Here is a 25,703-nt window from a genome sequence, read left to right as displayed (position 1 = left end):
ATTTATCTTATAATCTTAAAATTATTTTTGTGGCACCTAAAATAATTGGTCTTGTCATTCGTAGTGATTTAGACTTGATAAAATGTAATGGTGCTATGGAGTACTAACACATAAGTTTTTTTTAATTTAAGAATTTAGCCAATTTCTGTTCAATACTCTGATAATTTTTACCATTACTTAAGTAGCAAATAAAATTTTACCCAGCATTTATAGAGACAGCATAGGTGTTTAATGAAATATATTTTTAAGAAAATATTTTATCTCTAGATTAATCGGTAACTGTACCTTACAAAGAGTACTTTAATTTACTGCCCTTTGTTGTTGTTAGGGTGGGAAAGAACATGGTGTTCCAATCCTCATCTCTGAGATCCATCCGGGGCAACCTGCTGATAGATGCGGAGGGCTGCACGTTGGGGATGCTATTTTGGCAGTCAACGGAGTTAACCTAAGGGACACAAAGCATAAAGAAGCTGTAACTATTCTTTCTCAGCAGGTAAATTCCCTTCATGTAATTAGAACTGGATCTATCAATTGGTTATGAATCTATTGAACACTGTATACTTCCCTACGAAGTTTCTAAAGTAGTAAAGTGTTTACACATAGTTCTTGTTTCCTTTGATTTAATGCTTTTATAGCTGACATTCAGTCAGATTTACTGAAAATGGACCATTCCATTTTGTTTACTTCATAACTTTGAGCAAGTTACTTAAGTCCTCTGTCCCTCAGTGTCCTCACCTGTGTGGGAGGGATTGAAAGAAAGCTGTGAGGATTAAGTATGTTAATACATATAAAGTACTCAGAACAGGACCTGAGACTGAAAAAACAACATCCTTAATGCCTAGAACACTATATATAAGGTATTACAGAAAAGACAGTGCTAGAAGTAGATTGATTTTAGTCATGGAATATTAAAATTGAAATCACACATAGAAACTATCTAGCCCAACTCTCTTAAAATGAGTAAACTAAAGTTCTTAGCGATGAAAGGATTTACTCAAAGTTGCCAAGCAAATAAATTATAGAATTGAGATTCATACTCAGGAGTCATATTTGTCATACAGTTGTACTTAAAATGTTGTTTTATTTTATTTCTTTCAAGAATAGAGTTGAGGGAATTAGAGGCATTGGTAGTACATTGAGATGTTTCTTGGATTATCAGTGTGGTATGCCTCTGTAGAATTGCATCTCAGAGTTGAAAGTGAATATTGTTCATTGGTTCAATTCTATATGATGCATAAATCTTTGCAACATCACTACTTCAATAATTACATTACAGGGAAGACTTGCTGATATCAACCAGTCCATTCCATTGTAATACAGTACTGATTTTTAGAAAGCTTTTTCTCATATTAAGCCTGAAATCTGTGTCTCCATGACAGCTACTCACAGATCTAATTCTGTCATCTAAAACTTTGCTGAAGACCACTGCATCATCTGTCTCTTTCTGCAAAATGGTATTTTTAAAGCATTAGCTGACAAGAGAGATCTAAGAATGCTACGCTATTCTCTTAAGTTAGTGTTTTATCAATCCATCTTGACTGTCATCCAGTAGCAAAAGAGTGGGATAACTGGTGAAGGAGCTATCAATGGGCAGCCATAAGTTTTAAGGAAATGCTAACTAAGCACATATTAAAATTCTGAGGTATAACCTTAAACTGCTGGGAAAGAAGAGCACCAAAGAGACTAACTTAGTGAGTAGCAGTCAAAAATGCCGTGTTTTCTTTTGAGCAAAGGCAAGCCATAGTTTTCAGAATTGCCAACACCACACTTATATGTAGTGGTTGGAGTCTCTTATTAAATGACAATTATAGCTTGGAAATTTTTCTTTTAACATAAAACGATCTGTAACATTTTTTTCTTTTTTGGAGCCAGGATCTCACTTTGTCACCCAGGCTGGAGTGCAGTGGCACAATTACGGACCACTGCAGCCTCAACCTCCCAGGCTCAAACAGATCCTCCGACCTCAGCCCCCTGAGTAGCTAAGACTACAGATGCCTGCCACCATGGCCAGCTAATTTTTTTTTTTTTTTTTTTTTTTGTAGAGATGGGTTTTGCCATGTTGCCCAGGCTGGTCTAGAATTCCTGAGCTCAAGCGATCCACCTGCCTCAGCCTCCCAAAGTGCTGGGATTACAGGTGTAAGCCACTGTGCCTGGCATGATCTGTAACTTTTTACTTGAATGTTTCATTGTTAAAGAATGACAGTACAAATATTACACAGTTAGTCTAGCATAATATAAAGATTAAGGACTTCAGAGTCAAACTTTTGTTTTTCTTTATTCTTGTTCATTATGTAGGGAAAGTTATCTGCTTTCTGCAGGACTCACTCAGCTTTCTCGTTCATGTAAAAGAGACTATAATAGGATTATTCTGGGGATTGAAGGCTATAATTTATAGTAAATATATAAATATAGTAATTACTATTAGTACGAGACAGAATACCTTGATTAACACTATGTCTGTGTCTGGTACTCAGTGTAAGTTCTTACTCAAGACCTATTGAATAAGAAACAAAAAATCATTTTGTAGGAGTTTCTTGAATTAGTTAAGAAAAGATTTATATGATGTCCTTATGGCAGTGTACAAAAATCATTTTCTAGGGGTTTCTTGAATTAGTTAAGGAAAGGTTTGTATGATATCCTTATTTAATATCTGACTATTTAGATGTATTTGCTGAATTGCTGTGTGCAGTACAAAGTAGCAAATAACTTTAAAACTGAATACTTGTTCCAAAATTCTATAAATTTAATAATTAAGCATCCTCTTAAATTTTAGATCTATTAGCAAAAAGACTATGGTCAGTAGAAAGAGCTACTATAATGTTTAAAGGAACTGTAGAGAGGATTCACGAGGCTGATCAGACATGATGGCCTCACTACCTCTTTAGATTCTAGAATTTTATTATTTATTTTCTGGAAATCAGCTATCTCTTAGATCTCTCTACCCCTAAGCCTTCCCACAAAGAATTTGGAAATCCTTTTTAAATTACAATTACAATAACTTGACTTTCTCATTTTCATTTCCTGTTTTAGAGAGGAGAGATTGAATTTGAAGTAGTTTATGTGGCTCCTGAAGTGGATTCTGATGATGAAAACGTAGAGTATGAAGATGAGAGTGGACATCGTTACCGTTTGTACCTTGATGAGTTAGAAGGAGGTGGTAACCCTGGTGCTAGTTGCAAAGACACAAGTGGGGAAATCAAAGTATTACAAGGTAAAAATCACTCTAAAAATTATTATTAACATATTCATTATTATTAAATGTTTAAAATGTGAAGGCCTCAGAATTTCTTCAGTAAAACTGTTTTGTGAGGAAATCAAAGGAATGAAGAGCTTTCCCTTGTTTATTGTTTTATTGTATACTATGCTAACAGTTTATTTACCATATATGTTCTTCTATATTCATCTTGGACTGTTAAGACAAGTACATTACCAGTTACTCTACTGCAAGTGATCCTTGAAAAATAAATAAAATTTTTTCTAGACTCTGAAACAAAGACCAATATACTATTTTGAGTAGATCTATCTTGTAGACTACATTGTCTGTCTGTCTTGATGCAAATTCATCTCTCACAATGAATTTTAAGCTAATTATGAATAAGTATGAAGTATACTGTCACCTTATGATTGCTATTAGAATCAACTTATATTATCTTGGGGATGTTTGGTTTAGTTCCTTTGCTATCATTTAGACATATTTTAAGGAAAAACTCTAGCACTTCCTTTTACATAGAGCAGTGGTCCTCAAATTGTGATCTGTGGATCTCTGAGGGTCTCTGAGATATTTTAGCAGAGTTCATGAGGTCAAAGCTTTTCATAATAATACTAAGACATCATTTGTCTTTTTTTGCTATGTTGATATTTGCACTGATGGTATCTGGTTGATGCAAAAGCAATTGGGGTAAAACTGCTGGTGCCTTAGCACTAATCAAGGCAGTGTTGCTAATACTAGTAACTGTACTAGTAATCATTGTTTTCTTCCTTGCCATCCATTCATAGTAAAAGAAGAAGATACCAATTTTGCTTAAAAATATCTTTGATGAAATGGCAGTAACAGTTAATTTTTAAATATTGACCTTTGAGTACCTGTCTTTTTAATATTCTTTGTGATGAGATGGGAAGTATGCATAAAGCACTTACTCTGCACACTGAACAAAGATGCTGGTTTCAAGGGAAAGTACATAAGTGACTGAACTAGCCATTTTTCTTCATGGAAGACAATTTTTACTTGAATGAATGACTAACAAAGTATGGATTTTCGGACTATTTGGAAGCCATTTTCTTAAAAATGAACAAAGTCCATCACTTCAGGAAAGACAACTGATAATATTTATTGCCAGTGATAAAATGTGAGCTCTCAAGTGAAAGTTAGAACTTTGTAAAACATACGTTGATCACCATGAGCTTGACAGCTTCCTAACACTTAAGCTTTTCTGATGAGATTGATGATGATATTAATGAATGTGATTTTTTGATACAGTAAAGTGAAATGTGTCAACTTTTGGAATTGCTACATAACTTCATGGTCCAATATTTTTCAAATCACCAGTAAATGAAGTTATAAAATTTTGCATGGGAAAAGATCCATTCAAAATGCAAGATAGGCAAATGGATTTTAATATAACAGAGTGTGAAAAGTTCACTGATAAGGTTTCAAATTCCACATTGTCAAATTTTTGTATAATATCAGAGAACAATACTGACAGTTATCTGAAAAGGCTGTTAAAATACTCTTCCATTTAGCAACTACATATCTGTGTGAGGCTGAACTTTCTTCATATACTTGTAATAGATTGAATGGAAGCAGATATATGAAAATACAGCTATCATCTACAAAGCCATTGAAGAGATTTGTAAAATTGTAAAATAATGCTACTCTTCTAACTAGAATTTTTTTGTTTGGAACATAGAGTTATTTGTCATTAGACAAATGTTATTTATATTAACCTTCTGGATTTATTGTCATTTTTAACAAAGAAATGAATTTTTTTTTAGATTTTTCAATTTTACCTACTAATATGGGAAACATCAGTAGCTATAATCCACATAAACAGAAGCTTCTTGGAGTCCTCAATGCTTAGTATAAAGGCCTCCTGAGACCAAAATGTTGAACTCCTGGCATGGAGTTTTATGGTGAACTGATAAACTGTTGCACTTTTGATAAACTTGTGTGTTGTAAACTGTCTGCACAAAGATAGCAGTAGCAGTTACTGTTTTCACTGTGCATCTTGAGCAAAACTATTGTGGCAGTATGTCAAAACCTTAATTGTTGGGCTGCTCTCCATATGGTTTCATTGTATTTCACACTTGCTGTTTTCTGTCGGGATTAGAAAGCCTGTCTCTTCCTTTTTTTTGTAACTGAGGCTAGAAGTCTTCTCTGTCACATATGCAAATTGCAGACACTTAAAATGTGACTCAACTAAAAATTTGTGTGTATATATCTTTTAACTGACTCACTTAAAAAAATGTATCTATTGGTTATTGTTTCACACGTCTATACTTTATAGATATATATATCACCTAAATAGGTGATATAGTCAACACTTATTTATTTATAAGCCTATTATTTATTTTATAGATGATCAGAATTCGTTTTAAGTTTTAGCTAGACATCATCTTGCCAACAAATTACATTTTAAGCAATTAACTAGTATATGCCTCAGTTAACTGAAGTTAATGTAATATGAAAGCAACAATGAAAAATAAAAATATAATTCACAGTTCAGTAGATATTTATATAAGTAGAATTGACTGAATTTTACAATTATATGTATTACTTCTAAGTCTTACAGACAGCTTGATGGTGGCTCATGCCTGTAATTCAAGCACTTTGGGAGGCCAAGGCAGGAGGATCGCTTGAGGCCAGGAGTTACCAACCTGGGCAACATAGTGAACCCTGTCTCTTCAAAAAAATTTTTAAAATATAGCTGGACATGGTGGCACATGCTTGTAGCTCCAGCTACTCAGGAGGCTGAGGTGGAAGGATTGCTTGAGCCTAGGAGGTCAAGGCAGCAGTGAGCCGTAATCATGCCACTGCAATCCAGCCTGGGCAATAGAGTGAGACCCTGTCTCAGAAAAAAAAAAGAAAAAAAAAAAAGGAAAGGAAAACTTGATAGGAAACTTAATACAATTTTTACATAAGCCCAATATAGTATTTTTAAATCTGTACAATATTTGATACCTGCCATAAGAGGGAAGAATTCCCCTGTTAGGAATTACTGATTTGATTAATATAAGGCATTATTTTTGCCTCAGATTACTAATGTTAATTACTTGGGCATTCCTTTGTTTTTCACTCAATAAACTTATACAACTAACTTTTTTTTTTTTTTTAATTTTTTTAATCGAGACAGAGTTTCACTCTGTCACCCAGGCTAGAGTGCGGTGGTACGATCTCAGCTCACTGCAACCTCCACTTCCTGGCTTCAAGTGATTCTCCTTCCTCAGTCTCCCAAATAGCTGGGATTACAGGCATGTGCCACCATGCCCGGCGAATTTTTGTATTTTTAATAGAGACGGGGTTTCACCACATTGTCCAGGCTGGTCTCGAACCCCTAACCTCAGGTTATCCACCCACCTTGGCCTCTCAAAGTGCTGGGATTACAGGTATGAGCCACTGCACCTGACCAAAACCAACTTTTTAAACCAGAAAGTGTCTGCTTTTTTTTTCTCCTTTCTTTCAGGATTTAATAAGAAGGCAGTAACTGACACACATGAAAATGGAGACCTGGGCACTGCAAGTGAAACTCCGCTAGATGACGGTGCTTCAAAATTAGATGATCTGCACACTCTGTATCATAAAAAATCTTATTAAATTGACCATATCTCCAGACAAGATTGTTAATCAGACTATTCTGAATTTGGGGCACTGGGGAAGATGGTGACAAAGACTACAAAATCAGGGGAGGCTGTTTGTTGCCTAAATGAAAGGCGGGTACCTCAGGGCTTCATGTGAACAATTCTCAATGCATAAAACACCCTGTTTTCTGTGGTAGACCATAATTAGCTATTGCATGTAAAGCAATTTTGATTTTCTTGAACTTGTAAGCACCAAAGCATGTGTTTCCCAAAGGGGTATTACTGGGCTCTTAAGTACCAAATGAAACCCTACTGTTTTACTTGGTTCCTTTTCCCTTTAGTAGGAGGACAGTGCTAACTGGAATTTTATAAGGAGTACCCTTTAAAATACAGAGAGTAAGTGAATTCATATTTTATATTCTAGAATGTTAACTGTGGTATTTCAGAAGACAGAGCTTGACTCAATGAATTGTAGAAATATAGGCTTGACTTAATTTTTGTAACTGAAAGGCTTTAGACTTAAAAAAATTTATTGTGCATCCTAAAATCTAAACCAATTATTAATGATCATTTATTGTAATGAGTTTGCATTTCAGCTTTATTCAATGCAGTACAAAATAGTTTTCTTTAAGCAGTCTTTTATCAATCAATGCTGCACTAGAAATAGATTCTCAAAAGTTACTAAACATTTTACTTTTTTTGTTTTTTAAAAGAAATGCAGATGAGTGTAAAACATCTGTTCTCAATTATGTTGATCTGTGTGCGCAGTACTGGAGCATTTACCCATTCATGTTGAGCCTCAAATGCTTGTTTTCTGGGGTCCACAAAAGACAGTTTTATACATTTTGAGTTGTTCATAAAGTTTGTCTTGTGATAGTCCTGGCACTTAAAGACAAATTTTTCTGGTAGTAAAAGTTCAGATTTATTACTATGTCATGAAACACAGTACATTCAAATCAAACGGCAGTTTTCTTTCTAAGTAAATGATTTCCAGTCATCTAAAAGGTGGGCAAGATGAGATAAAGACATTTTGATACAGTAATTGTTTTGGTTGGGTTTTCATGTCAGTTTATGTTTGACTAAAGCTCTCTTCATATGCAGGTTTATAAATTTGTTAGGTCTGTTGTCCCATGATTAAACATGGAGTGCCTCCTCTCTGATTTAATATTCTGCAGGTCATTGTAACCTGCTAGGCAAAGTCACAACATTGCATTAAAGAGGTGATAGCTTTGCTAATATCACTGTTTTAAAGGACGTACAGTTAAAGGAATATTAAGTGGGAGAAAGCCTACAAGGCTTTTAGAATATTATCAGTATCTTCATTTCTGGTATTCAGATGTTATGTGATAAAACACATTTTTTTTGGCTTTCCCAGATACACTATATATTTGTTCAAGGGTAAATCTATAAAATGTATATACTTTATTTTGTGGTTTTGCTATTTATAAATTTAATGTTTTAACTGTTGCTCATTTATGGTTTGTTTTGGGTGGTGGTGTTCATCTGTATATCACCATGTTAATTTGTAATGGAAGTGCACTTCGTAGTGTATATTGTTACTGACATTAAAATACTTTATAGCATTGTCTCTGAGCAAAAGCTAGTATTTAATTGTACAAATGAATAAGCAAGTTACATGTTATTGTTTGCTCTTGACAGGGTAGGCCTCTTAAAAGAAAAAAAACAACTTGTTTTTTCTTTATGAATCCCCTATGCCAAACACATACCTTCCATGCATGACATGAGATCTGCAAACTGGATTTTAGCCACCGTATTTATTTAGTCAAAAAAATTGTCCATTGTAGCAGACCCGAAAACCTTTTTGCTGTGACATGAAACCATGTTATTCTTATCTTCTTAAAACACAGCCTGGGATGGAATGGCCATGGCATTTTTTTCAGAGAACATCCTTTATCTGCTATGACTGAATCCTTAGGAAATGTAAGCTATAACCCTTTGATTTTCAAGAACTACCGAATAAGTGTATGAAGAGGTGGTTTTTTAAAACTTCAAGTTGGAATTTTTATGAGGTCACTGTGTAATTTGAAGAATTGTGTGAGATTGTCATGATATAAATTCCTTTTAAGGACTGATAAATAGAATGAAAAGTTTCCAGGTAGTTTAAAACTCCACAGGTCAGTTTCCTTTTCATTCCTGCTTCACTGTGGTTTATAAGCCTACGGGAGAGCACCGTTGCTCAGATGCTACTGTGAGCTTCCTGTCCGGTGTTAGAAAGTAACTAGTTAAAAGTTCATTTTAGAATGTATGGTTTTTGGGGATGAACTAAGAATTAGTTATTAGTTCCAAAGGACTGAGAACCAATTTTAATATTTTCACATTTATAGGAAAGAAATTCATATGTCCCTGAAACTTCTAGGACAAAACCAAACAAGTAAGGAGGGAACTGTTGCAAAGCCATTTCATCGAGAAGGGGACAGAAGGAGAAATACACACATGTATACACAAACAGAATGGTTGAGAAAACGTTTTAATAAAATGTGAGGGTTGTATGTGTGCGTGTATATATTTACACTTAACCTCTAAAATTCTCTTCTACAGTATCTCTGTTATGAATATGATGGAAAAGCAACATTTTGGTGGTGAGACTATTGTTAAAATAAATTTGAGAAAGACGAAAATTTTGTGAGTCTTGATAATTACAAGTCAACAGCTATCGAAAGTTAGCACAGCTTGTCTGTGGTGCTGTTTTTTTCCCCACTGCAGTGGACTTATGCTGTTTTCATGTTTAGAAACAAAAAGGTTTCATGTGATTCATGTGTAAGATGCACAGTATTTGACATCCTGATTATGTAATCCCTATTCCATCTATCCAGTCTTACACTTATGGTTGGCCTCAAATCTATTGCATTTATGATAATGTATTATATCTAGTTGAGTTTAATATTTTTTTATTAGCCTGTAAATAAAGATGGCATCTTCTACATTAAAATGATATTGATCTCATTTTTTTAAATAAACATTTTGTTTCCTTGACGTTAAATATTTTGGCTTGTTATTTATTTCTAGTAGTTCTATTATTTGTACCAACATGTCATAAAGTCTGTGCAAAGGACTTGGCTTAATTTTGTGTTATAAATATTGCCAGCTGTTGTTATCTATGAGGAAAACATTGATGAAAGTTAGAAAATCAATCCTGTTTTTAAGATACTATTTAAAAGGGTATTCTTCCATTTTGACATCTAAGTATATATGATTTAGAAGTTCCTAAGTTATATGTAAAATAATTTTTGGAAAATACTTGTAAATGAATTACTTGAGTTATGAACATTTAGAAATGTTATGAACATTAGAAATACATTTTTGTCACTGACTAACCTTGATTTAGTGCTAATACATATATGCTTTCCGTGTGTTGATTTAAGCTCCCAATTCACCAAGTGATTTGAAAAGAAGTCTTTTCCCCAGAATACAACCCCATAGGATATTGGTCAATTTATGAATTTTTTTTTGGTCAGTTTATGAAATTTTAAAGAGAACTTGTATTTTCATTGTTAATCAGTATTTTATTTTAGGTGGTTTTATAACTAACCTTAAAGAAACACTTTAAAAGTATTGCAAATTACCGTGCACTGTTGGTGCTGAATATTTGTTCAATAATGAACCTTTTTCAGGTGTGATTTGAGAGCTATAATCACCACGGCAGCAGCCATGAGAATGCATCTGTCAGTTCTCGTGCAGGAGGGAGCATAGCTTACTGAAGGTCCAGCTGCTGTGGTCTGAAATCCATCCCTGTGTACATGGTGAGGCTATGCTCCTCCATGCTGCTGCCAGTCAGTGACTGATTATGACAGGGATATTATATGATGACTCCTCAACTTTAGCTGGAGCACTCCACGATGGTCTTGCCAAACTCCCTTAGGATTACATTGTAGTCCAAGTTGCTTTCACCCAACCTTCCTTCCTCCTTTCATTCACCTTGGGTCTTAACTCCATTGTGATCTCATTGCCTTCCAGCCTCCAATCAACTCCAGCTTCCTACCTATTTTTCCTCACTGGCATTGCCGTTAATAAATCTGTTGCACAGCAGATCCCTTTTTGGTGTTGGCGTCTGCTTCTTAGAGAGGCTAGATTAACACAAGTGACCATGAGTGAGATTTGAGGAAACAGGTAATAAGATGGGCATTAGGAACCCACCCAAAGGGTAAAGACAGTGACATCTGGTTGGTGAGTATAGTTTATCTAGTCGTTGGCACAAAATCATGGCTCAGTGGCTATTTCACAAATGGTGTGCAGAAAAGAGTTAACAGAACAGGCCTGAACCTGTTGTCTTTAGGTCTGCTTGCAAGGTTGGACCTTGGCTAGCGTCCAGCAATTTGGATATCAGGAGTATTCCCATTATCCCCTTGCTGGTAAGTGCGGTTTACTGTGCCTGAAGTGTTTGTACAAACAGTAGGATTTTTGTTGAACACTTACTTTCCTCTGGGAATCTAGAATTTTGGTACATGCTAGGCAGAGGGTACCTACACTGACTTCCCTAAAACCTTGACTCCTAGGTTCAGTCAGGCAAGCTTCCTAGGTGGACAACACTTGATGTATTGTTACACATTATTGCTAGAGGAATTAAGCATGTCCTGTGTGACTCCATTGGGAAATGAATCTTGGAGCTTGTACCTGATTTTCTTGGGACTGTGCCCATATGCCTTTTCCCTTTCCTCATTTTGCTTTATATTCTCTGTAATAAATCATAATTGTGAATAAAGCTTTGCTTAGTCTGATGAGTCCTAGCAAACCACTCAACTTGGGGAGAGTTTTGGAGACTTGGGACTGAAATTGGAAAACATTTTATTTAAATTGGAAAAAATTATTAAATTGGAAAAAATCCAGCTTATGGAGAGGGGAACTCTCCAGGAGGGTCAGTGATGCAGACATTTGAAAAATGTGGGAGAACAACATCTACAAGAATAGCAGAGTTGGCCGGTTACAGCAGGATTGTATTAATGACCTACAGAAATGGATGGAGGGGGGCAGCTCCCAAGGAGGCCTTACCTCCTACAATGGAGGGATTGAAACAGCTGAGCTTCAGGCTGAACACCTAAGTGTTAAGAGTTGCTGAGTTTCAGACACTTGAATGTTCAGCGAAACCTCTTCTATTTTGTGAAAGTCAAGGCCCTGGTGAGGAAAACCTAGAACCATGGGGAGATCTGGATGGCTGCACCTGAGAGACTTTGCAATCTCTACTGGACTGTTGGTCTTAAGAAGAAGCCCACGCTTCTCTAATAAGACCTTGTACCTTGTCTATGCTCCAAGATGTTACAGAGGCTGCTACTAACCACATCCCTAAGGCAATACCTGCCCCTACCTAGTCTGCTGCCAGGCCTGTAACTAGGGCTAAATCCTAGTAAAGCCAGGATGGGAGATGTGCTGGGCCTGATAAAGGAGAAAAGAAACTACACAAAAAGTGTAAGAATTAGCTAGCACATTCTGGCAAAAACCAAAGGAGTACTCCTAGAACTGAATTTTATATTTTTTATTTTTATTTTTTTTGAGACGGAGTTTCACTCTTGTTGCCCAGGCTGGAGTGCAATGGTGCAATCTTGGCTCACTGCAACTTCCATCTCCTGGGTTTAAGTGATTCCTCTGCCTCAGCCTCACAAGTAGCTGGGATTACAGGTGCGTGCCACCACGCCTGGCTAATTTTTGTATTTTTAGTAGAGACGGGGTTTCACCATGTTGGCCAGGCTGGTCTTGAACTTTCTGACCTCAGGTGATCCATCCGCCTCCCAAAGTGCTGGGATTAGACTGGCCACCGTGCCCAGTCTGGAATTGACTTTTGAGAGTGCTTGATCAGGGTGTAAACTTATTAAAAGAAAGAACTGAAATTAGAAAACATTTTATTTAAATTGGAAAAAATCCAGCAATATGTTGTTTAAAAGGAACATACCTAAAACATAAGGACATAAAAAATTTGAAAGTGAAAGGAGAAAGAATATACACTGGGCATATTTTCTCCAAAAGAACATGGATACAGTTATATTTTTTAAAAACAGACTTTAAGAAAAAAACCATTAGGGATAAAGGTTACTTAAATTCTTAAAGAACCAATTTACTACAATGTTAAATCTATCATCATAGTGGGAGATTGCAACAAAACTTTCAGGCAAATTAGGAAAGAAGGAAGATTTGAACAACAAGCTTGATTTAAAGTTTTAAGAGGGCATTTGGTTGTAAAAGAAATACCTCTGGCGTCTAAGTAAGAAGATAAAAAGTGAGCAAAAAACAGAGATTTTTCAAAAGAAAACATACAAGTGGATGATAAACATGAAAAAAAAAGTTCAACATCACTAATCAGAGAAATGCAAATTAAAACCACAATGAGATATCATCTTACACCAATCAGAATGGCCATTATTAAAAAGTCAAGAAACAGATGTTGGGGAGGCTACAGAGTAAAGGGAGCACTTACACCGTTGGTGGGAATGTAAATTAGTACAACCTTTACGGAAAACAGTATAGAGATTTCTCAAAGAACTAAAAATAGAACTACCATTTGATCCAGCAACCCCACTACTGGGCATATACCCAAAGAAAGAAAGAAATTATATTGAAAAGATACTGGCACTCGTATGTTTATCACAGCACTATTCACAATAGCAAAGATATGTATGGAATCAACCTAAGTGTCCATCAATGGATGACTGGATAAAGAAAATGTGGTAAATATATACCATTGAATACTATTCAGCCATGAAAAAAGGAATGAAATCATGTCTTGCAGCAACATGGATGGAACTGAAGACCATTATCTTAAGTGAACTAACTCAGAAACAAAGTTTACTACCACATGTTCTCACTTATAAGTGGGAGCTAAATAAAGGGTACACATGGACATATATAGAGTGGAATAATAGACGTTGGAGACTACAGAAGATAGGAAGGTGGGAGGTGGGTGAGGGTTGAAAAATTACCTATTGGGTATAATGTTCAGTATTCAGGTGATGGTTACACTAAAAGCCCAAACTCCACCACTACGCAATATATGCATGTACAAAACCTGCACTTCTACCCCCTAAACCTATAAAGATAAAAATATATTTTAAAAAAGGAAGATAGGTAATGGACTATAACAAGGAAAATTAGATAAAATATAGGCCGACACTAAAACTTGGAGTCTATGCGTTGGAAAGGTAGAATTTGCAATTTGGTAAATTGCCAGCAGGGGGCAGCAGATTCCAGATGCATTATTAATTTTACTTTTATTAGCGGTGTAAGGCTTTTTGAAACTCATCAAATAAAATACTCCTGTGAAGATCAATAAATTGAAGGCTGATTTTTCCAGGGTCACACAGCTAGTTAAGTGTCTGAGCCAAGACTCAAATCCCTCTCTTAATTCTACTTTAATAGGCCACAAAGAAGGAAAGGGGAAATATAGATAAAATTGTCAGCTTTCAGTCCTCCTATTCCAACAATTATTTTTATTTTTTCCATGCTTGCCAACTGCAGTAGAATTTTTCTAAAGTTTTCTTAAAAGGTGCACGGTTTGATGGACCCTTGGCTTGATACAGTTTTGATTTCTAAAAATGATGATTGTGCTGGGTTTGAATTTCACAAGAAACTGTTTGGCTGTAGTGGAGTGACTATAGAATGAGAGAACTCCTAGAGTTACATAGTAGAATTCTAGATCGTCAAGACTATAGCATTCCCCTGCCCCCACCAAATACGGAATAAGTTATTTCTTGCTTGTGTGCATACTGTCCCCATATTCTTTAGGAAGCAATACTGCAACAAGGATATTTGTGTCCTTTTGTGACATTTGAGGATGTGTCATGCTCACTAGGTGCCCTCTACTGTCATGTTCACCATGGTTGAGGGCATTTTTAACCTCTGCCTAAGGCAGTAACAAATGGGTTGTTGGCTTCTGAAACAGGAGAACTACAAAAAAAAACCCTGATTTTTCAGAGGAAAAAGGCAAACTGCTGACTAAACTAGTCATGAAAAAAGGGAGTAAATGCAAATATACAAAACAAGAAATAAGAGAGAAATACCCATAAAAGAGAAAACTAAAAGGATAATAATGGACTACTTTGTTCAATTCTATAGGAATAAATTTGAAAACTTTTCTAGGAAAATGTAATTTACCAAAACTGTTCCCAAGGAAGTTTTAAAATCTAAACAAACCAATTTCCATAGGAAAAATTGAAGGAATTGTCAAAGTGCTCTCCCCACAAATTACCAAAATACATGATTTCACAGGGCAATGCTACTAAACGTTCAAACAACAGCTAATTCTAATGCCTAGCAAGAGAACCAAAAAAGGGAAGAAAAATTCTAAATTGTTTCTGTCAAGCTAATAATATCTGATCAAGATTGCCACAAAGAAAGAAAAGCCCTGATTCACAAAAGATTTTTTTTTTTTTTTTGCAACTGAGTCTCGCTCTGTTGCCAGGCTGGAGTGCAGTGACTCGATCTCGGCTCACTGCAACCTCCGCCTCCCAGGTTCAAGCGATTCTCCTGCCTCAGCCTGCCGAGTAGCTGGGACTACAGGCACAAGCCACCACTCCCGGCCAATTTTTATATTTTTAGTAGAGACAGGGTTTCACCATGTTGGCCAGGACAGTCTCGATCTCTTGACCTCATGATCCGCCCGCCTCAGCCTCCCAAAGTGCTGGGATTACAGGCATGAGCCACTGCACCTGGCCCACAAATGAATATTAATGTAAAAATCCTAAGTAAAATCCTATCCATGCAAATTTAATACAGTAATGGATTCATATCTATAACCAGATGTTTAACATTGGGACATCTAATTATGTAATTAATCATCTGACTGGCTCTAGGGAGGAGTCCTATGGAGGAAAATCATATTTTCCATAGATGCTGAAAAGACTTTGCTCAAAATTAAGCACATTCCTTGTGAGGGGGAAAAAAAGGAATAAATAGATGCTTTCTTAACATAATAAAGTTTACCTCAACATAATAAATCTATCTCTGCCTAAAAGCCAGCATCATGCTAAGGTGGGAGCTACTAGAAGTATTTAATATGGTACTGGAAGTATTGCCAATAGAATTAAATGTACACATAAATATTGGAAAGGAGATAGCACTAGCACTATTTGCAAACGTGATCAAATTCCAGAAAAACCTAAGAGAATCAACTAAAAGCTACTAGGAATAATAAGGACATTTAGTAAAGGAGCAGCATACAAATTAGTCACAGAAATCGAACAGGAAGGCTGCATATAATAGCTAACACCACGTGGCACTTATCATGGGTCAGACACTGTTGTAAGGGTTTTATGTACATTAATCCTTGTAATCTTCACCACAACCCTATAAGGTATATACCATTATTATCTCCATTTAGAAATAAGGAAATGGAGTCATAGAAAGTAAGTCCTTCTTGGTCACAACTAAGGCAGAATTTGAGCCCAGGGAGTCTAAGCCCCAGAATCCATGCTTTTTACCACTAGGCCATACTAGTTCTTGATACATAAAAGAGGAGGTGGGGACAATTTACAATGGCAGCAACAACAAAAAAAACACCTAAGTACAAATTAAACAAAAAATGTGCAGTACTTATGTGAGCACCCTTTAAAATCCCCTGAAAGGATGCAAAAGGGGCTTGAACAAATGGAAAGGGATACTACGTTTTGTGTACCTATATAACTGACTAAAAACTACATTAGAAAAAGAATGAATGGAAATAAGGCAGACAAAAATTCCAAGAAGAGATCACTGTTCGAAGAAAGACAATAGGTAATTAGAAGGGCTTAGTATATTAAGGGAGAATTCTTTATACTTGGGAGAGATTTGAGGAAGTTTAAAGGCTGAGGGGGAGACCTCCAATGAAAGGAAGAAGAAGATAAAGGAAAAAGGGATAATAGGAGCAAAGAGATAAGGGGAAGGCAGTGGGATTTAAGATCACAGATGAAGGTTTCTAACACTTTTTCCATTGACACAGGAAGGAAGGAGGAAAGGAATGAAGTGGATACAGGTTTTGTGAGAAGAGGAATCAGCAGGAAGTTAGTTCTGATTTTAACGACTTTTATTTTTAGGTGAAGGAAGTGGCAAGATCAGAGTAAGGGAGAGTGTGAAAAGTGGCACTGCTTTGGAATAATTGCTAAGGGGTACGGAAAAAGGGATCAAAGATAAATAAAAGCGTTGAGGAGTGATGGGCCCCCAGTAAACTGGAAACCGAGCTTTTGTAACAGCCACAGTGTGAATAGTTCTGCAATGTTCCCCTGCTGCTGTGATGAAGATGGAGAGATGGTATTCTCAAGGGGAATTATGTTGTTGGGGTCTCATGGTTCGGGGCTCCTGGAAAGAAAATGGAGTGAAAATGCTGAGACAAACCAGTTCGATGATGGATAGGGAAGGAAATGCAACCCAAAAGGATTAACAACTAGAGGAAAATGATGGGATCTAGGGGTTTGGTATCTAAATGAGATCAGTGACTAAGTAGGTGGAAAGCTGAAGAACTCAGGGGGTTTTGAGCTGATAGAGAATTGCTGGAGATTAGGTTTACAGTGCTGGGGTTCTTGCTGATGACAAGAATGTGGACATGTGTGGGAGTGGTTTAAATGGAAAGCAGGTTACTAGAGTGGAAGTCAAGAAACCATAAAAATGACCATGTTGGGCACTTCATTCTCTAGCATGATTACAAAGGAGGAATGAAGAAGACCTAGAATTAGGTGAATGTCCTCAATGAATGGAAAAAAGTGGCCTGGAAGATATTAGGTGTCACAGCAAAAAGAAAAAGGTGGTAGAGCTAGGTGAGAAAAAAAGGGAGAGCTTTGAATGGTGGTGAAAAAGTAAAAAAGGATGTGGAAGTAGTCTGTTGGGAGGAGGGTGTGTGCCACAGTTAAGTGCATTTGTTGGGAGGACAGGCAGCCTCCTCTTGAAAAATAAAAAGGACTCTAAGGCAAATGGTGTTGGATGACTTCAGATTGGGCAGAGAGAAAATGAGCTAATATTGATCGATCATCTAATGTATACAAAACACTATAATATAGTCTGCACAACAGCCCTTTTATAATAATTTCCATTCTGGGAATAAAGAAGTAGATTTAGAAAGCACCAGTAATATGCCTGTAATCACATAGTTACAAAGATTAAATCTCCAGTTAAACCCAAGTTCTGTATGGTTCTAAACCTGTGCTATTTTCTCTTTTTAAAAAACAACAACAACAACAAAAACATGGTCTTGCTCTGTTGCCCAGGCTGGAGTGCCGTGGCGTGATCTTGGCTTACTGCAACCTCCACCGTCTGGGCTCAAGTGATCCTCCCGCCTCCCCAGTAACTAGGACTACAGGCTTGCACCACTACAACTGGCTAATTTAATTTTTTTTTTGTAGAGAGGAGGTCTCACTACATTGCCCAGGTTGGCCCCAAACTTCTGGGCTCAAGCTATCAACCTGCCTCAGACTCTTAAAGTGCTGGGATGTGTGATACACCGTGCCTGGCCTGATATTTTAATAAATATGCTTTCTTGTACCTGTTGGGGAGGCATCATTCCAGCAAGACGGCGGACTAAATAAGAAGAAAACCTGTCTATTATGAATTCCTAGGAATGTCAGACCAAATAAATCAGAATTCTTCACAAGGCCTAGCTAATGTCTTAAGAAATAAAGGGAAGCCGGGCGCGGTGGCTCACGCCTGTAATCCCAGCACTTTGGGAGGCCGAGGATGGCGGATCACGAGGTCAGGAGATCCAGACGATCCTGGCTAACACGGTGAAACCCCGTCTCTACTAAAAATACAAAAAATTAGCTGGGCCTCGTGGTGGGCGCCTGTAGTCCTAGCTACTCGGGAGGCTGAGGCAGCAGAATGGCATGAACCTGGGAGGCGGAGTTTGCAGTGAGCTGAGACAGTGCCACTGCAGTCCAGCCTGGGTGACAGAGCCAGACTCTGTCTAAAAATAAATAAATAAATAAATAAATAAATAAATGGAAATACTCAGGTATCAGAATCAAAGATAGGATGAGAAGCTCTAATGAGCATCCAATAGGATTTCCAGGAGAAAATAAAGAAAACAACCAAAAAAAAGGGCTGATCATTTTCATAGTTGATAAATGCTAAGATTCAAGAGGCACAAGTCCTGAGCAATGTGAACAGAAACAAATTCATAGCTCAATACATAGTAGTAAAATTGCAGAATACCAAAGACAAAATAAAAACCTTTAAAGCCCCTAGGGGAATTTATCCCAGAACAAGGAGAGGCTGGGAGCAAGATCAGTGGGAGACAGGGGATCTGTAGTGGGATGTGAACACAGCAGTGTGGGTGGGTGTGCAATGTGGCATGGGGTGACTGCATGGGCTGTGTTTTGGGCAGGAAATACTTGCAGGTTGGGGTGTTTGTATTCACCCTAGCTTCTCATTGGAGGGATTCAACTGCTCTCAGATCTGGGGGAGAGACTAGGCATTCTCTTTCAACTCAAGAAAGTACAGGGTAAACACTGCTCTCAGAACCTCAATAACTATTTGGTACGTGCATGAATGCAAGATAAGCATTTTAGGAATAGTGAGGTCAACCCGGTGGCCACACTTGGACTGCTGTGACTGGTCAGAGTGGGGAAAGGTCTCATAGCTATTCATGGTATATACAGTTGTGCCTACAAATGTGATTTCATGTTAAGAATCCAAAGCAGTATAAAATAAACACAAAACAATCTCTCACATCCTTTCTATTTTCTAGGCTGACTGTAAACGTTAATGAACATTTAAATAACAATAATAAAACCCAGAGCAAAGCTTCAGGAGCCTGTGTAAGTGTAGTCTTGCTTGTCATAGCAAATGTGTTTCAACCGCAAATTTAAGAAGTGGCAGAATACAATCTTTGCCTCCCAGTAGGATTTGATAACATAAGTCAGACAATTAGAATTGTCTCATTCACGCCTTATCATATATGCTGATATTGCAAAACACCAAAAAAGAAAGATGTAAAATTTTTCTGCCCTTATCCTCTAGTTTAGGTTTAGCTGTGTAGGGTTTATCAGACCTTTCCACTCACCCAACCTGTTCTACAGAGTCTACCCTGAGGAAGTGATGATCCAAAAAAAAAAGTCCTGTTCTCCCACTGGTCATGATTAGATCACTAGTGCCGCAGAAGAACTGTGATAGATGAAGACAGCTCTATTGTAAAGAAGGGCTGTAGATCTAGGCCTATGCTTATGGTCTAATATTCCAATATTAAAATTCTGTAAACAGCCCACTGAAGGCTTACATTAGAAAAAAGGACCTACTATAGACAACACTTTGATAAATGTTCCAACTAATTTTTATCAGTAAGTTTTGGAGGAAGAAAGCACGACAACACCATTTTCAAACATGAGGAAACCGAGTCTCATCATTATAGAAGCAGCCAGACTTCTCTTCTGTGGTAGATTGGGGTCTGGCCTAATCTGGCACCAAGCTCTTTCTCTTTCCACTGTGGCACCTGCCTTTTTACAGAAGCTGAACCTTGAGTGCCTCTAACACCCCAGCGAGCAGGGCTGACTAGTGAGAGTCAGGGGCAGTTTGGTTTGGCATAGTTTATTACAATTAGTGTGCGCATAAAACCATGTAAACTCTACAAAGTAAACCATTTCCCCTCCACACTAACCAGCAGCTAGTCTGCCATGACCTTCCAGCACCCCCATTATTTTAACATATATACATTTCACAGGATGTAATAACCACACAAATAGGGTTATAATACATTCTTCAGGGAAAAAAATTTTTGGTCCATATTTTCTATTAAAAAAACACACACACTTCCCTCTTTGGCAAAAGAGGTTAAATCTCCCATAGTTAACTCACAAAAGAAACTCAAATAAAAACTACTGAGCATGAGGTACAGCTGATGTCTGGACTGTTCTGGAATTACAGACGCCTCCTTGAGGGGAAAATCATTTCTTATAAAATGAGATCAGTTTCCAACAGTTTCATGTCAGTAGAAAAGCTCGATTTAGACTTGGTCAGAATCACTTTTGCATGAACATGTTCCAAATAACTTTGTTTTTCAGAGGACAGCGGAAGTCACGAAAATGTGCTACTTCTGAAGAAAGTCATGAAAATTGTGGCGTCTGACCTCAGCAATATTTTTAATCTGAGGTACGAAAACATCTGACACAGCCATTCACACTGTAATTCCTGTGCCACCTTCATGGTCACCGGAGCTGGGCCGACCTCTTCGCATCCCCCTCTGAAGTGGAGACTAAGGAAACGGGCAGCTGCTGAGGTGTTGTTTCTTTGCTTGTTTTTAAATCTACAGTCATAATTGCTAAATAAACAACCACCCTGGTGTGCTTTTCATGCTTCAAGTAATTCATTTCTTCCAGGAGAAGAATGTTAAAAATGCTTTCAGTTCTAGTTATCAAAGGAGAGGAAATGACTCAATAACAACAAGACTAGGTTTAAGCAGACCTGCTGCTAACACAGTATCAGATAATATACTGAAAAAAATGAACATACTATTTATATACATTTTGCAACAGCTGCATTTTCCCACTTAACCTCTGTGCAGAACTAAAATCTGATAGAGCAAACTTAAGTTACTTTTATTATTGTTAAATACAACTCTGTACACATTACACCTTTAACACCAAAGCAGCTCAATATCAGTCAGAGGAATGAAAACGCCATCTGAAAATTTTCATTTTTCTAGCCCAACAAAACCCAACAGACGCACCCTAAGGGTCAGCACGAAACCAGCTGCACAATTTTGTAAACAGTATGACAGGTTGTCTCTAGGATCCTACTGGATCACACACACACATGCAAGTGTACACACACACCGATACACACGCACACTCTGGACCAGCAGGCTCCCTTCTTCCAGTGCCTTGTGACAGCCCGACGCTCAGTACCACAGCAGGCTTCTTTCACATTGTGTTCACAAAAGGGCAGTCATGGCCGTCTGGTTGAGGGGTGTGAGGCAGTCTCTGGGGGCAGAATAGCTGTCACTCGTCCCGGGATGCGTTGGGGGCTTCTGAGAGTCAGGGTGCCCGCTTTCGGTGGCGAGGGCGCTGACAGCTTTGGGCCGGTCGTAGCCCCTGTCCGCAGGCTGTGCGCTGTGTGGCCTTTGATAGTCTCCGTCCTGGGCGCCCACACCCGCTACGGGGGAGAAGCCGCCCGAGGAGAGGGAGTGTTTGTGGCCGGGCTGGGGCCCTGGGACGCGGTAGCCGCTCTGCGCAGAGAACGTGTGGGCGCGCAGCACGTGCCGCTCCACGATGGGCGTGGCGTACTCGGGCTCCGGGGGCGCCAGGGGCAGCGCGTACTCGTGGCGGCCGGCCCGCTGCGGGCAGTCATAGTGGCCGCCGGCATCGGTGCTCACCCCTGCCTCCTCGGCATCCGTGTCCATGGGCCGGAAGGTGGAGCCCTTCCTCGTGACTGTCCCGGTGCCAATCATGAGGGGCTGCTGGTAATCTGAAACCACAAGACAGATGGCAGCTAGCGGGCACCACACACGGGCCGGCCTGTCAGTGGCAGACGGGGATACTCTGCTTCAGGTCGTGGTGACTGACTTTCCCCCCGGGTGCCCTCAGGTGTCCCAGGCACTGCGGAAAACCCTGATGTGAAAGCCACAGAAGCCACCCGCAGGCAGTACACAACCGCACCGCCTGCTCAGGAAGCTTCGCAGGGTCTTCTCAGAGATGGGGGCGACGACGACGTCCTGGGGCATGGGGACATACTTCAGGGAGGAAGTGGCTCTGAAACTGGCTCTGGAGAAGCTATGGAGGTGGAAGTCACACAGTGTGGAAATGGAGAAAAAAACAGCCTCGAAAATAGAGTTGATATGGCCAGAGTATGAGGGACACAGAGTAGTTTGTTTAATAGGATATGAGGACCAAAGCAACAGGTCAGGGCCTAGTGGTGACAGTGAGGATGATGCCAGGAGCTCCCATTTATAGAGCTCCTACTCTTTGCCAGGCGCTATTCCAATAGCAAGATGTTAATAATCTTCAAAAAAATCCCGAGGTAGGAACTGTTACTCCATTTTACAAATGGGAAACCAAGGCAGAGAGAGACTAACTTTTCCTAGGTCACACAATGGGGCGATGGAGTAGGATTCGAACGCACATCCTGAGTATATGCTGTTAGCCACGCGTTAGAGCATGGAAAAGCATTGATTGTCTTGCTAGGAAGTCTGGTTTAATTCTATGGGAAACGAAAGACTGGCACTTTCAGAGGTAACTGTGGAGGTTGACCCAAGAGGAAAAGATCAAAAAGTGAGAGGTAAAAAAGCAAAGAGAAATGCACATAGAAGTCACAAACTAGGAAAGAGGAAAAGTGACCCTTTGGGACAGGAATCAGGAATTTGTTACCAATGAGAGGTGGGGTGTGAGGAAAGCCGGGAGGCAAGGACTCTTTGAGGCTGGGATGTGCAGTCGAGAAGCCATTAGACAAGGAATGCACAGAGCATCTGTGGTGAGGGTTAGGAACAATGGATTCGATTGTGGTTGCTGAGGAACGGGTGACATCTGCAGGTGGAGGTGTCCAGCAGGCTGCTGAGAATTATGGACTGGGGACTGAGAGGGAAGTCTGGGTGTGAGAAGCAGCATGGACAAACATGCAGGGAAGGGCACTGCTGGAAGTTGGGGAGGGTGTGGGACTGTTTAGGGGAGAGACTGTGGTGAGTGGGGGTGAGACAGAACCCGGGTCATTGCACATTTAAGGAGCCTGAGGATCATTCAGGGAGGAGGGAGGAGAGACTGAATTAGAAGCTGAAGGAGAATGAAAGGCATAAGACAACAGAAATTAGGTTCTCCCTTCATGTCACTTCCAAGGAACAAGAGGATGGATTTTGGTTGCAGAGGATGCTCTCCTTGTCCACAAAGTGACTCAACCAACCCTTAGGCTGACAACTCCCAGTCACTGATGTGCACAGGCGTCACCTGGGAGCTTCTAGTTCTATGGCCTCCCTTTCTAACAAGCCCCCAGGTGATGCCTATACTGCAGGTCCTCAGGCTGCACGTGAGGAGGGAGAAGCCAGAGCGCAGTGCTACTCAGAGCATGCCCCACAGAGTCCTATGTATCTGAGAGCTGTTTTTAGCAGTGCCATAGAGACAGGTGCAGAAATTGAGACTAAGTGTCAAGAAACTACTCTTAGTTACTCTTTATTACTCTTAATTTTATGTCTGTTGAATCTAATAATAAAAAATTAGAGCTTTGTATTTTGTATCTTTAAAATTTCCTTATTACTAGTATTTTATATTGCATTTTACAGTGTATTCATTCATGATGGAGTAGAAATTTTAAAAAAAGAAACAAAAAGCATTTCCCCATAGATGGTTTGGGAAGCTCGACTCTTGATGTGGCTTGTCAGGGACACTGAGGCCCTTCTCATACTGAGAGAGTTCCTTTATTTCCTATCTCACCTTCCTCAGGGCAGGAACTGTATTTAATTCCTCCTTTCAGCCCCTCTGTACCAGTGCCTTAATCAAAGCTTTGGTAACAAAAATAGATTCAGGGCTTCCAGATACAAGTAGTACATCAGGGCTATCACTATGGATGTCACTATATCCCCTGCAGGTGAAAAGACTGGCTGAATAGGGCTTTTAAGTAATATCTCAGTGTCAGTTTGTAATTCTGTGCAGAATGCAGAAAAAACACATTTCAGATTTACTGGACCCTATCTAAATAGAAAAGGATTTTGCCTTATTTCTCTCCTGTCTCCCTCCCCCACAAGCAGCACCTCCAATCTAATAGCACAGTCCTAGAAATATGACACTTACCTGCCATATCACTTGTGATGAGATCTAACTTTTGTGTCATCTCCTTCTCATTATCATAGCTGATGGTAAACTCAGCTGACTGATGTCTGGCAAAGGGATATTTAATCTGCTTCCAACAGTCTGGAATAAAGGTAACATAAACCAAATGAATATGTCAGAAATGTAATGCGCGTCCTCCAGAACATGTTCCTTGATGAGTCAGAGGTCAGGCTGCCTCCTGACAGCTGACAGTGATCAATGTCCTCCTCAGGTGTGTGTGCTAAGAACAGCATGCCAAGGTCATTAACCACAACAGCAAACACTACTCTAACCATGCTTTCCGCTGTGCCTTTAAAAGGTATTTTGCCCTCATCAGGTCCCAGATTCTCCCTTTGTGAGATCATCTGGGTATGGTCTCCGACAATCTGCACTGGCATGGCATCTGTGAGGCAGAGGAGACACTGCAGCTGGTGTTTAGACCCTGGGGAGGTGGAGTCTCAAATGGTCCCTGAGCTTTCTCAGGGGTCCTGCCCCACTGCCCTCTCTCTCTGGACCATGGCTAACTCATTGCTTGGGCACCTGTGTCTGGGAAAGTGAGAAAAAGACCAGACGGGGCTGGTGTGCAGGATTATCTGAAACCTGCACACCAGCCCTGCCTGGTCTTTTTCTCACTTTCTCAGGGTGGAAAGTACAGCACAGGCCTGCAGATGCTAACAACACGGGCCTACTTCAGTTCACTGATAAGGCTTTTGTCATACCTCCTTGATGGCAGACAGTGTCGTGGCCTAAACTCCAGTGGCCAAGAAAAAAGGATGTTGACAAATGATAGGGGATGACATTGAACAAAAGTAAAGTGGCCATTAAAATAAAGAGACAGAACACAATAAATTTCTTCCTTATAGATATGCTACTTTAAAGGCTACAGGGCTTATGTCTTTTAACCAAATAAATGTGGGCCACTGGCCTCCTTATGCTTTCAATCAGCAGATCCTGTCCCTTCCTCAAAGACAGATAAAATTGTAGATAGAGTTTTCAACCAACCTGTTTTCTGAGCCTCTGCTGATCCATACGGACTTCCTTTCTTCTTCTTCCTATCAAGACAAAAAGTCCTACTGAATATTTATAAGCCAATGTATCTGCCTCTCTCTCCCTATATAACATAAGGATCATAATAGTACTTACCTCATAGGGTTGATGTGAGAATTAAATGAGATGGCAGCTGCCATGTGCTTTAGAAAATCATACAAATATGTAGAA

The 25,703-nt window shown here is 39.0% G+C and overlaps 2 protein-coding genes across 12 annotated transcripts in view, besides 4 other annotated features; one reads left to right on the top strand and one right to left on the bottom strand.

The window, feature by feature from the left end:
- The window catches only part of GOPC (golgi associated PDZ and coiled-coil motif containing), a 42,243-nt gene extending 32,447 nt beyond the window's left edge, over nt 1–9,796 (top strand). For both annotated transcript variants that reach the window (NM_001017408.3, NM_020399.4), the window contains 3 exons: nt 329–493; nt 3,031–3,211; nt 6,681–9,796. In NM_001017408.3, coding sequence (NP_001017408.1) covers nt 329–493; nt 3,031–3,211; nt 6,681–6,811 — 477 coding nt within the window. In that variant the 3' untranslated portion in view covers nt 6,812–9,796. The remainder of the gene's footprint in view (nt 1–328; nt 494–3,030; nt 3,212–6,680) is intronic.
- The window catches only part of DCBLD1 (discoidin, CUB and LCCL domain containing 1), an 87,185-nt gene continuing 61,688 nt past the window's right edge, over nt 207–25,703 (bottom strand). For 4 of the 10 annotated variants that reach the window (NR_158983.2, XM_011535771.2, NM_001366458.2 and 1 more), the window contains 3 exons: nt 25,488–25,537; nt 24,468–24,587; nt 20,268–22,158 (listed from right to left, as the gene is read on the bottom strand). Coding sequence is in view for 9 of the 10 variants with exons in the window: in XM_011535771.2 (XP_011534073.1) it covers nt 21,626–22,158; nt 24,468–24,587; nt 25,488–25,537 (703 nt within the window). In the remaining variant the exon portion in view is untranslated. Of the gene's footprint in view, nt 446–20,267; nt 22,464–24,467; nt 24,588–25,487; nt 25,538–25,703 lie in introns of those variants that run through there. The other 6 variants (XM_047418676.1, XM_011535773.3, NM_173674.3 and 3 more) reach the window with 5 other exon arrangements.
- Nucleotides 11,738–11,787: an enhancer, noted in NCBI's record as "active region_25007". NCBI's record gives its function as "activates an Ori minimal core promoter by ATAC-STARR-seq in GM12878 lymphoblastoid cells {active_cell/tissue: GM12878}" and the evidence as "EXISTENCE:reporter gene assay evidence [ECO:0000049][PMID:35858748]".
- Nucleotides 21,775–21,824: an enhancer, noted in NCBI's record as "active region_25006". NCBI's record gives its function as "activates an Ori minimal core promoter by ATAC-STARR-seq in GM12878 lymphoblastoid cells {active_cell/tissue: GM12878}" and the evidence as "EXISTENCE:reporter gene assay evidence [ECO:0000049][PMID:35858748]".
- Nucleotides 21,835–21,894: an enhancer, noted in NCBI's record as "active region_25005". NCBI's record gives its function as "activates an Ori minimal core promoter by ATAC-STARR-seq in GM12878 lymphoblastoid cells {active_cell/tissue: GM12878}" and the evidence as "EXISTENCE:reporter gene assay evidence [ECO:0000049][PMID:35858748]".
- Nucleotides 22,445–22,534: an enhancer, noted in NCBI's record as "active region_25004". NCBI's record gives its function as "activates an Ori minimal core promoter by ATAC-STARR-seq in GM12878 lymphoblastoid cells {active_cell/tissue: GM12878}" and the evidence as "EXISTENCE:reporter gene assay evidence [ECO:0000049][PMID:35858748]".

This window comes from Homo sapiens, chromosome 6 (genome assembly GCF_000001405.40).
Source record: "Homo sapiens chromosome 6, GRCh38.p14 Primary Assembly".
Lineage (NCBI taxonomy): Eukaryota > Metazoa > Chordata > Mammalia > Primates > Hominidae > Homo > Homo sapiens.
The sequence above is the reverse complement of the archived record's forward strand: the minus strand, read 5'-3'. Positions and strand labels throughout refer to the sequence as shown.